This window comes from Homo sapiens, chromosome 4, assembly GCF_000001405.40.
Source record: "Homo sapiens chromosome 4, GRCh38.p14 Primary Assembly".
Lineage (NCBI taxonomy): Eukaryota > Metazoa > Chordata > Mammalia > Primates > Hominidae > Homo > Homo sapiens.
The window spans coordinates 109,878,484-109,891,878 of record NC_000004.12 but is presented as its reverse complement, the minus strand read 5'-3'; the positions used below and the strand labels follow the sequence as shown (position 1 = coordinate 109,891,878).

The window sequence follows — 13,395 nt, the reverse complement described above, 5'->3', positions numbered from 1 at the left end:
GGAGTTCAAGACTAATGTGGGCAATATATATATATTTATATATATATATCAGTTTCTTTATCCACTTGTTGATTGATGGGCATTTGGGTTGGTTCCTCATTTTTGCAATTGTGAATTGTGCTGCTATAAACATGTGTGTGCAACTATCTTTTTCATATAATGACTTCTTTTCTTCTGGGTAGATACCTAGTAGTGGGATTGCTGGATCAAATGGTAGTTCTACCTTCAGTTCCTTAAGGAATCTCCACACTGTTTTCCATAGTGGTTGTATTAGTTTACATTCCAAGCAGCAGTGTAGAAGTGTTTCCCTTTCACCGTATCCACACCAACATCTACTGTTTTTTGGTTTTTTGATTATGGCCATTCTTGCAGGAGTAAAGTGATATCAAATTGTGGTTTTGATTTGCATTTCCCTGATCATTATAAATTTTTTAAACCAGTTTCCATGTGGAATGTTTCATGTGTAGCAATCTTACCACATCTGAGTCTTCAATGAGAAGAGTTGGTCTCATGAATCACCATTCTTTGAGGAAAACATAAATGCCTAGTCTTGAGAGTGGCAGAAAACATAGCCCCAAGAGGGTAATATTGGCATAGGATTAAAAGACAAAGACATGTCTTTGGGCTATAAATTGAAGATTTTTTTCATTTATGGAGAAAAACAATTTCTTATCTCCTACATTTACCGAGAGGAGTACCAGAACCATAAAATCAAATTAAAAGTTAGAAATCTTTTTTGATTATATCACTGATAATTTATATATGATAGCTGTAGGATCTTCTGGATTCAACAAACATATGAGATAGCCTTGACATTTATCTGAAGGGTTTGGTGTAGTTTCAATGTAGGAATCTGATTCCTATAGTACTCCAGGAACAAATGAAACTACAACAAACCCTTCAGATTAACTCAAAATCACATAACTGAGAAGGCTTGTGCTGGGAAAAGAGCCTGGATCTTAAAATTTTCCCACTTCTTTTTTTTTTTTGAGTCCTGAAAATATATTACTGCTTGATGACTGCCTTATTTTTTATTCAAAGTTAATGATCTCAGAGGAAACCTCTCCAAAGTGCTTCTACAATATTCCTAAGTCATATGACCAACCAGACATTTTGTCAATCCAGAGACACTGTCTGCAACAGAGCAGGCACTCAGTATGTCTTTGTCAAGTCAATAAATGAATGACCAGTGGGTTAAAAGTGAAAAAAAGCAGAAAAAAAATCTTGTGGCACGTGTGTGTGTGTGTGTGTGTATACAAACATAAAGACTCAAAAAATCAACTCATAGGCAAATAGTTTTCAAAAATGCTGCAATAATAGCCTTCACAAGGCTGATGGTCATGTAAAGTGCCTCTCCCTTGTGGAAATTGTCCCCAAAATATAGCATCAGTCCAAGGTAAAAACCACCTGATCATTTGGAAACTTTTGAGGAATCTGCAAGGGGAACAGAAATGTGTCATTTCTACCCTAGAGGGAAATTAGGCCACTGGGAAGGAGAAGCAATGCCCTCCTGTGAGAAGCCCTGTGACCCTATACAACCTCCCAGCTGCCCAGGAAGCAAAGCCAACATGTGGATCTCAACCTCAAATGCCATGATGAGAGAGAAAATCTAGAATGTGGCATCTGAGTCCCATAGCCAGAGACACACCCTGTTTTGGGTCACAGCTGTCCATGCTGTTCTTGGATGGGAGGGACAAGGAGGAGGCCAACTGAGAGTAAAGTCAGAAGACTTTGGCTCAGGTCATAGGAATGAATTTGTTGGCTGAACAATATCTAAACAAATTGATCTGTCCTAGAATTAATTTATTTTAAACTAGAACTTCATTTGATGCATTTGATGACCCCTTGTTCTTATTTTTTCCAACACGCCACATAGCTTGGGGTAATTCACATTTACTGACCCTTACTTAACATTCACTTGGAAGTTACTGATTATAAAGGAACCAAATCAAGAGTTAGAGAACACCAGGCTCACCAAAACCCAATAATAGGCCTTTTACTTAGTTTGTTATAAACATGCTATTTATTTTGAAATGAAGAAAGGAAAATTTTCAGCACCCACCAGTTTATTTCCCATGCTTTTTTATGTTCCTGAACACTCAGTTAATTGCATTCCTGAGAAGGTGACATTTCTCGGGCACAGAAACAATGATATCCACAGCTATTTCCCCAACCACGTTTACTACCTGGAGCAAAGAATGTCCAGTTGATGCTCAAGGGAATGTGTTTCACCTGAGATCCCCTTAGATTGAATGCATTTGTTTTATGCTGTTTATGTTGAGCAAAAGTCTGTTGGATATTTAAGTCAGTAAATCTAAAGCAAATTGTGTTCTGCTAGTCTAACACTTGGCTTTGAGTAATTCACCCGCATGAAAGTAAGGAAACCTGTGTGCCAACAGGGGCTCTAGTATCCATAATTGGTATGTTGTTATGTTGCTTTATTAAAAAGGAAAATGAAAAACGAACACACTCATGTTAGCATTTTGCCTTACAAAGCTCTTGCAAAAGTTTTCCATTTTGAATGTGCAATTAAATCATAGTAGAAAGTAATACTTATAAAACAAATTAATAAATTCACTGTCATGGGAAATTATGCTGAAAACTTTTATTAGACTGATCAGTTCTTCAGTTCTCTTAAATCCATTGTGTAGATTAAAATGCACTCAGAAGATTGTGTAGATTTTATCAACCCAATACCAAGGTCCTAGTGGTTTCCTTAGAACAATGGATTATGGCCCAGGGTGGGAAGGCCTTAGAACTGAAATTTAGAGAAATATTACTTAAATCATAGTTAAACTTTTAGCAAATAATATCAGATAGGCATCATTAGGAATCTTTAAGGCTGTGGTTCTCAACCTTAGCCACGCACTATATAATCACCTGGTGAGCTTTTAAAATCCAAGACAGCTAGGCCCTGACCAATAAAATCAGAATCTCCAGGATCTGGCAGGAGCATTTCTAAAAGCAAGTGATTACTTTAACCTGAGAAAGCTGATGGCAAAAAAATAAAATAAAATAAAATAAAAGCAAGTGATTCCAATGGAACACTTAAGATTGAGAACTCTGCTTTAGAGAAGAAAATGGAACTCCACCCCCTCAATAATTCTTAGAATGTATAGAATGTTTCGTCTAAATGGCCAAAACATATGTCATTCACTTGTCCCATGATGCAGATTACCTAAGCAGATCATATATCCGTCTTGTGGTTCGGTGTTCCACCATTCATAAGTAGTAACCCTCACAATCAATTCACCTCAGAGATGACTGAGATAATCAGAGAGGTATGTTTTTCTCAGCTATATTATTTTCCCTAACACTTATTGTAAATGTATTACATTTCATACATTTCAAGTCTGATCCTTCTACTGTATAGTTCCAAAAAATATTTTTAAATTTACAAACCAAGTTAATTTCAATTCACCCCGTTTGGCATTATATTTGCCCTCTATTTCATATCATACATAAATTAAATTTTATATAGATTAGAAACTCCAAAGTAAAATACAATTATGAAAAGTCCAGAACTTTTGGAGAATATCTAAGCAATTTCAGGATGAGGAGATCTTTTCAAGCATGGTAATAAAGCCAGAAACCATAAGAGTAATATGAACTGATACTACACAATGATGTAAAACTTCTTTATTTAAAACTTCATAAATAAAAGCTGAAAGACAAGTGAAAAACAGGGGATGAATATTTGCAGTATATATAGCAGATGAAGAGTTAATATCCTTAAGAGTTCAATGTTTTTACAAACTAAAAAGGCAAAGATTACCAACCCAGTAGAAAAACACGTAAAGTCTCCAAATAAACTATTCACAAAGAAGCATAAACAACCAAACTAGATGAAGAGATATTCGATCTCAGCGAGAAAAAAGAAATTGAAATTGAAATAATGAAGAAATGTTTGAGTACTTATCTGATTGCCATGATTTGATTAAGTCAGTGATTTCAATGGTGTGGGAAACAGACACTTTAATGCACTACCGGAGTCCGATCTTTCAGCTGAGAATAGTTTGAAAATACGTACTATAATTTTTAAATACACTTTGACTCAACAATCCTGTCTAGGGGTTTATCCTGAGAAAACAGAACATGTAGGCAAACATGAACAAATTAGGATATTCACTGGAGCATTCTTTATAATATCAAAAATATGGAAGCAACCTCATTATTCATCAATAGGAACTTGGCTAAATTAATGTGCTTCATCTTTATTAGAGAAAATTGTAAAGGGATGAAGTTGGTCTTTATCTACTGACAAGAGATGATGCCATCAATATATTGCTATTTTTTAAAAGCCGATTTCAGAACAACGTATGTAATTTCATCTTACTTAATGTAAAAAATGTTTATTTAAATTTAAAAGTCTAGAAAGGTATATACAAATTACTAATCGTTGTTATCTTTAGGAGAAGTGGCAGATGGAACAAGTAAGAACTTTTGACTCTACACATTTCTAAGTTGCTTGAAAAAAATTCATACATTAACAATCACCAAACACAAAAAAAGCTGCTTCCGTTTTGGAAAAACAAAACAAATACCTCCTGTCTGTGATACTCTAGGCCACGTGCCTGCGTTTGCACACTCCCAAGAATACGTGGGCCCCTTTGAAAGGAAGTAGACCCTTCAAACAGCCTCACTATGGGGCCTACAAGCTTAAGGGCTGAGCCTGACAAAGGCTGATGCAGTTTATGGAATTATTTCAAGCAAGTGTCTTTTGAGCTCCTTCTCTACGCTGTGTTCAGCTGTTAATTAATTATATAAAATTCATGGTTAGTAATTTTTGCATTACAAAGCGAACCAGTTGTATATAATTGGCTTAAAAAGGATACTAACATTATTTTTTCTTTTCCAGCCTTCACTAATTACGAGAACATAAAGTATCTTCCCAGTGAATAGGTAAATGAATGAATGAACAAATCAAGGAAATCTATGCTGACTATAATGAGATCTTAATTTTTTGATGGGGAAATAACTGATCCATTTTAATCTTCGATTATCCTTTATAAGGACTTTTTTCTGCCACCAAGTAAAAAAAGATAATAATTTGGCTCAGACTAGTCAAAAATATTAGTGAATATCAGAACCATAAAACTGTATTCTCCAAAAGACTTTAGTTCCTTGGTCATCATGGTAACACACGTGAAACAACCACACGTTGTTTTAGTAAGTTGACAGACATGGTCATTTCCTTCCAAGAGTTTGGTCTCTAAAATGTGATCACAGTCAATAAACTTATAGCCATACATCAAGAAACCTATTTGAACTCCAAGAGATGACTACAGGGCCAGTTTATCAAGAAGCAGACTATCTTGCAGGCATGCAATCATGCACACACAGACACACACATATATTTTTAAAAGCCAAGATGTGGGACACACCTCTTGAGCAATGCTTTGAAAATGAAAACCCTAGATGTTCCATTTTACAAATGTGCACATTGCTAGAGTGAAATAAGATTCTGCTAAGGGTAAAATGATATCAGGATTGGCAGGGATGTGTGGGCAGGGGTGGGGTGTGATGGGAGCCCTAAGGGAAGTTAACTCAATAAATGTTGAGTTTATAAGTATATCCCAGGGTTAAGGACTCCATTTGTCCAGAAGAAAGAGAATCAGCTGCTGTGTTTGGACATTGGCTATTAAATGGCATAGATCCTGTTTAAGCAAATACCAAAATTGCCTGCCTCCCTAAAGTAGTCATATTCTAATAATACATGAGCACCATTGAATTAAAGATGCACCTTAATTACATTAATATCAAATTTCAATTTTTCAATTTTCACTACTTCTCCTTCAAAGTTAGTTTTTCCTCAACAAGCTAAGGACCCTGATCTAATCATGTTCATCAAGGTGCTGGTGCTTTTCTCCAGTACATGTTGAACATGTGGAAAATGATTATAAAAATCATAAGCATCACCAACCTGAACAAAAAAAGTTTTATAACAGATTTCTGTTATAAAGATAGGATGAGGCTTGAGCAGGGTTTTTATTTCCTACCTTCATTTTAGTAGTTGATCTACTATCATCTTTTAAATAAATTTTTTTTTACTTTGAAATAATTTCTAACTCACAGAAAACTTGCAAGTGAGTTCCAAAATATCCTTTATCCAGATTCACCAGTTGTTAAGATTATGCTACATTTGCAATGTTAATCTCTTGCTATCTCCAAATATATATTAAAATATAGCTTGCATACATCTAATACATCAAAAAATCAAGGCCTCATTATAGACAGCATAGATTGCATTTGCTCCTTTTTTATTATTATTATATGTGTCTCTCCTAAGAACATGAATATTGAATATTGCCTTCATTATCTTACATAATCTCAATCAGTTATTAAATTCAAAAAATTTAGCATTGATATAATACTTTTACCTAATCTGCCATTCTTATCTTAATATTTTCCATTATCTCCATAATGTCCTTTTTACGTTCTTCCCCTCCTGCCCAGGATAACATGTTACTTAGTCGTTATTTAGTCTTTAGTCTTCTTTAATCTAGAACAATTTCCCAGCCTTTTTAAAATGCTTAATGACACAGATATTTTTAAAGAATACAAGCCAGTTATTTTTGAGAATACGCCTCAATTTAAAAATGCAGTTCTGCTGTTACCTTAGTTTAAGTGCTGTTTTTAAGAAGTCTGATGGCAGCCTAATTTTCTTAATCTTATAACTAACCCGATGTGTTTTGCTTGATCTTTTCTTTATCTTTAAAGATTGATAGTTTTTATCACAAGGACAAAAAACCGAACACCACATGTTCTCATTCATAGGTGGGAACTGAACAATGAGAACACTTGGATTCAGGAAGGGGCCTGTTGTGGGGTGGGAGGAGGGGGAAGGGATAGCATTAGGAGATATAGCTATTGTAAATGAGGAGTTAATGGGTGCAGCACAACAACATGGCACATGTATACATATGTAACAAAACTGCACGTTGCGCACATGTACCCTAGAACTTAAAGTATAACAAAAAATATATATATATATATAGAAAAAAAAGAAAATTGAGAGGCCAATTCTATTTGAGGTTGCCAAATATAGTAGGCGCCTATCTTACTAGCTATTTTCCAGGCATGGTGCCTGTAAGGACACCACCTTTGTCCAGAAATCCATGACCTCTTGTTAGGAACTCACCTACTTCTAACCTGGAGTCATTTGTACTGCTGAGCCTTTCCTGAGACTTTGGCAAGGCTGACTCTTTTTATAATTCTAACCTCTGCATTTATATATTCTTATCTTTATCTTTGTTCTTACCTCTATAAAATGAGGATGGTTATATTTCCTTGCCCATCTCCATGGTTGATGGATGAAAGTTATTTCATGAAGCGATTGTAGTATTTTATCTGTGACGTAAATTTTTATGTGATTGTGTGACAGGTCATATTTCCCCATTTTCCTTTATTGTTGTGGATAGAGTTTTATTTAAAGAGTCAATAAAATGTTTTTCTTTTAAATACAAAAAAATAAACATTGATAGTTTTAGTCTTTCTATATTTGATCTCTTGTTTGTCTTTGTTTTAAGCTGGCTTTTAGGAAGAGATGCATTTTGTTCTTGTTGTTTTAGTGTCTCTTATAGTCTCTTTCCATTCTCTTTTTTTCTATCTAACATTTTACTATCTGGTCTATAATTTTTAGTTTTTAATTTTTGTGGGTACATAGTGGGTGTATATATTTATGGAGCACACGAGATGTTTTGAATGCCTAATAATAACATCATGGAGAATGGGGTATCCATCCCTTCAAGCATTTTTCCTTTGTGTTACGAACAATCCAATTATACTCTTTTAGTTATTTCAAAATGTACAATTAAATTATTATTGACTGCAGTCACCCTGTTTTTTTTCAAATAGTAGGTCTTTATTCAGTCTAACTTTTTTTGTACCCATTAACCATCTCTACCTCTCTTCCATCCCCCCACTATGCTTCCCTGCGTCTGGTAACCATCCTTCTACTCTCTATGTCCACAAGTTCAACTGTTTTGATTTTTAAATCCCACAAATAAGTGAGAACACGTGATGTTTGTCTTTCTGTGTCTGGCTTATTTTTCTTAACATAATGATCTCCAGTTCCATCCATGCTGTTGCAAATGACAGGATCTCATTATTTTTATGGCTGAATAGTACTCCGTTATGTATATGTACATTTTCTTTGTGATCTATAATTTTTAAATAGTATTTTTTGACTACCACATATTACTTATACAGCAGGCAATTATTTTTTCCACTCTCTTATTTCTGACTTCCTTCTCTTCCTGCTTTTAGGTGCATTCTTTCTACTCTATCAGTATGTATAAATAATGTTTACATATTATTCTTCTACCCATATGATCACTCTTGTTTTAGTCTTGATCTACAATTAATTGTATTAAATGCTCAATGTCTATACTTTGGACTTAATTTTCTCCATTTTGCTTCCTTCTTTTCTCCTATTGTCATGTTTTTGAAGGACATCACGCCTTCTCTAGCTCCTTTTACCCTAGTAGCAATGCTTTTCCAGGGCTTCCAACTCTGGTCCTCTCCCTTTCATGCCCCTTCCCTGTAGGCCATGCTACAAATTACCAAGTCTCAGGCCTTTGTTCAGAATATTGGCACTGGTTTGGTTTTCACCTTCTGGATGTAATTTTGTTTGTGCTTCGCATACATCCTAAGCTCTCCTCTTCTCTTTCTTGTAGTCTCTCAAGCCTTCCTGCTTTCGCTCTCCATATCCACAGGCTTACAGCTATGGCAAAACATTTATTGGAATCTCAGCACTTTGGGAGAATATGGGAGATATTCAAAGGCACAGAAATGCCAATTACTAGAGAAATAAGATTGACTAGAGGTAGAATTATTTTATATTTTAAAAAATCATGGCATAGAATGCAAAATTTACATAATGTTTAAATAAAATAAAATTTGTAGAAATGTCTCTCTTCTGGCAGCCACTTAGGACAATTGTCCTGGTTTCTCCAGGAGCACATGTTTATTTTCCCCTCCATTAGGAATATTCAGTGAAAAAGTGTGAGAAGCACTGAAATAAGATACACTGTCTATTTTCATGCCCTCTACAAAGTTGAGAAGCCTCTATGTTCATCCAGCCATTGGTGAAAATGCTGAATAAAATAGGGTAAAGGCACGCTACTAGAGACTATAAAGCCATTAATAGACACTCTTGAAAAGAGACAATCCCATATTGCTCCATCACGGTGATACCAATTGCTAGCTGTTTCAATTTGATTTTCAAGAAATCCGTTGATCTATGTGCTTAGTATCCTCATAAAAAATAAATCAGATGAGTGTATCAAACTTGTCCTTACTTCACATTTGTTGGTTACTAATGACCTTAACATTCATTTCTGAATGCTCAAAAACTAGAGCATTTTTAACAATCTGTTGTTAAATCTGCAAATATGAATCAAGTTGTCTATAATTTCCTGAATCCTTTCTGTTCCTCTCTTAAAAATAAACATGAAATGTACCCATCTGTGGTCTTGTGGCACCTCTCCTATTTGCCATGACTTTTCAAAGACTACCAAACAGTTTATAGCTGGAAATTCTATTTGCACCCTGGTACATAATTTATCTGGTCTCATTTTAAACATCTTGGAGTTAGCTTGCCAATCCCTCTTTTATCTTGGGCTGCAATTTCTACTTTTCATAGTTTATTCTCCATATTCAATTTAAACCCCAATCTAGAAAAGAGAGGAGAAAAAAAAAGAATTGAATGATGCTGTCTTGTCTCTGATATACCTTCTGCTATCATCTCTAAGAAGTAGACTTATTTCCTTGTTCTTTTTGAAATCATGGATTGACAAATTGTAATTGTGTGTGTGTGTGTGTGTGTATATACACACACATATACCTTGTGTGTATATATATACATATACCTTGTGTGTGTGTATATACATACACATATATACCTTGTGTGTGTGTATATATGTATTTACCTTGTGTGTGTGTATGTATGTGTGTGTGTTTATATATATATATATACACATATATATATACACATATGTATATATATATACAGGGTACAAAGTAATGTTATGACATATGTATACAACATGAAATGACTAAATCAAGCTAATTAATATATCCATCACTTCAATACTTATCTTTTTTGTGGCAAGAACATTTAAAATATATTGTCTTAGCAATTTTGAAATATACATTATTATTAAATATAGTTACCATGCTATACACTATATCTAAAATAATTCCTTCCTCCTGTTTAACTGAAACTTTGTACCCTTATGAGCTCCCTTAGCTTATGGTAATGAGCTCTCTTAGCTTTTCTTTGTCTAGGAAAGCTTTTATTTCTCCCTCATTTCTGCTGAGAAATCCACTGACATTGAGACTACCTTGTATGTGATATGTTTATCTTGTGCTGCTCTCAGAATTTTTAATTAGTCTTTGATTTTTGATAGTTTGATTATTACATGTCTTGGTTAACTCTTCTTTGAGTTGAAATTGATTGCAAACTCCTGCACTTACTGTACCTAGGTATCTTTTCTCCCAAATTTGGGGAGTTTTCAGGCACCATTTCTTTAAATATGCTTTCTGACACTTTTTTTCTCTCTTCTTCTTGAATTCCTATTATATGCATGTTAGTTCTATTGATGGTGTTGCATAATTCCTGTAGGCATTCTTTATTCTTTTTTCTCCTCTGACTGAATAATTTAAAATGTTCTGTCTTTGAGATCACTGGTTCTTTATCTTGACTGAGTCTGCTGATGAAGTTTTCTATGCAGTGTTTTCAGTCCAGTAATTGTATTCCTCATCTCTAGGATTTCTAATTTTTTTAAAAGTACCTATTTCTTTATTTTTTTGTCAAACATCTCATTTTGTTCATGTTTGTTTTCTAAATTTCATTTAATTTTCTGTCAATATATTTGTGTAGTTCACTGAGCTTCTTTAAAAGAATTATTCTGAGTTCTCTGTCAGTCATTTTATAGAACTCCCTTATTTTATGGTCCATCATTGGAGCTTTATTAGTTTCTTTTGGAGGTGTCATGATTTTCTGATTCTTCATAATCCTTGTGTCCTGGGTTGGTGTCTGTGTATTTGAGGAGACAGCCACCTCTTACAGTCTACAGGTGTTCTTTGGCAGGGATAGACTTTCACTATTTAGTCTACCCTGTGATTCTGGATAGATCAGCTAGTAATGGCCACAGTAGGTAGAGTTGCTGTTGGGTTCTCTGGTTGGTTGGGCCACTGCCGTTGCTCTGAGGTTGTCTGAGACTGCTGGCTGGGCTCTGCTGTGAAGTGAGACCACTGGCTGGGCTCTGCTATCAGGTGAAGCTGATGGCCAAGCAACATGATGGTCCCTGATCAGCCAGGTAACAGGGTATATCCCTGGCTGGGTGGTATCACTGTTTGGGTTCCACAGCTGGGCAGGGCTGCAGGCTGGGTTTTGATGCTAGCAGAGTTGCCATTCGGGACAAATGGGATCAGAGGCTATACTCCATAGAAATGCACAGTTGAGGCTTGTTGCCCTGCCTGGGTGGTGCCTTGATGTGGGCTCTGGGGCCAGATCAAGCCACTTTTTGGCCTCCCATGTCAGGCAGGTTTGGCACCTGTGCTTTGAAGAAATGCAATGTTGTGGGCATCTCCCTGAGTAGGCAGGGCCTTGAAATAGGCTCTGAGGCTGGTCGTGGATGCTGGATGTCTAGAGTCTAAAGCCAGCTTGAACTTCCCACCATGATTCTGGGAGTGATCAGTCCAGCTTTGGACTTGGGCTGTGCTGTTGGCTGGTATCTCTGACTAGGCACCACAGCTGGCAGGAACACAGAGCTACTGCCAAGATCTGCACACTGGTCACTGTGAGCTCTGCCTCCTTTTTTTGTTTCTAACTGACCCCACACAGTCTAACCATGCCATTACTCCCAGTGTCCCCCATAAGGCAAGACTGGTCTGAGCTTCCAGGAATGCACCTCAGAATGCTAGGGAAGCTGGATGTCTGTCTCTTGTTGTTTTCCCATTTTAAAATCATGTGCCCCAGGCCCTCCCATGACTACAGCCACTACTACGGGACCATCGAGTACCTGTGCTACAAGATTCTTGGTGACATCATTGAGAATTCCAGGATTGTCCTGCAGATCAACAATGCCTGTCTGGCTGCAGATGACTTCTGAACTAAGTATGAGAGGGAGCAGACTCTGCTCGTGAGTGTGGAGGCTGACATAATGGCCTGCACGGGGTGCTGGTTGAGCTGACCCTGGCCAGGACCGACCTGGAGATGCAGACCGAAGGGCTGAAGGAAGAGCTGGCCTACCTGAAGAAGAACCATGAGGGGGAAATTAATGCCCTGAGGGGCCAGGTGGGAGGCCAGATCAGTGTGGAAGTGGATTCGGCTCTGGGCGCTGATGCCACCAATATCCTGAGTGACATGCAGAGCCAATATGAGGTCATGCCAAGCAGAACCGAAAGGATGCTGAACGCTGGTTCACCAGCTGCACTGAGGAACTGAACTGGGAAGTTGTTGGCCACATGGAGCAGCTCCAGATGAACAGGTCCCAGGTCACCGACCTGCGGTGCAACCTCCAGGGTCTTGAGATTGAGCTGCAGTGGCAGCTTAGCATGAAAGCCGCCTTGGAAGGTCACCAGCACGCTTTGGACCACAGCTGGCGCAGATCCAGGCGCTGATCAGCAGTATTGAAGCTCAGCTGGGCGATGTGCGAGCTGACAGTGAGAGGCAGAATCAGGAGTACCAGCTGCTCATGGACATCAAGTTGTGGCTGGAGCAGGAGCTCGCCACCTACCTCAGCCTGCTCGAGGGCCAGGAAGAGCACTACAATAGCCTGTCCACCTCCAAGATCCTCTAAGGAGGCAGGCTCCTGGGCTTCTGCTCTCCTTTAGAGGGTGTCTCCTGGGTAGGAGGATGGGAAGGAAGGGACACTTACTCCTGGCTCTTCCCTGATCTACCAATAAAATGTTATGGCTCAAGGATAAATAAAATAGAATCATGGGACCCAGGGGAATTCTGTCTGTGTGGCCCTCTGCCAACTTGGGGGGAAGGGAGGAGAGATGCGGTCAAAATAAGACCATTTCTCTTACCATTTTAATGTGGTTTTTATCCAGTTCTGTGGTCCACACTAGTGTCAGGCTCATTCCCAATTTAGGGGTTTTTTCACATAAGTTCTTGTCTGTGGATAGTTGTTAGTTGGATATTTTGTTGAAGGGACGTGAAGTCTGGGACCTTCCCATTCAACATCTTGCTGTTGTCACTCTCCCCTCCTTGTTCTTTTTGACTAAAAGAAGCATCCGTCTGGTGCAGTGGCTAATGGCTATAATCACAGCCCTTTGGGAGGTCAGGGTGAGAGGACAGCTTTAGGCCAGGAGGTTGAGGCTGCAGTGAGCCATGATCATGCCACTGCACTACAGCCTGGACAATACAGTGAGACCCTATCT

The 13,395-nt window shown here is 37.5% G+C and overlaps 1 pseudogene; it reads left to right on the top strand.

Moving 5' to 3' along the window:
- Positions 11,986–12,932, top strand: KRT19P3 (keratin 19 pseudogene 3; annotated as a pseudogene).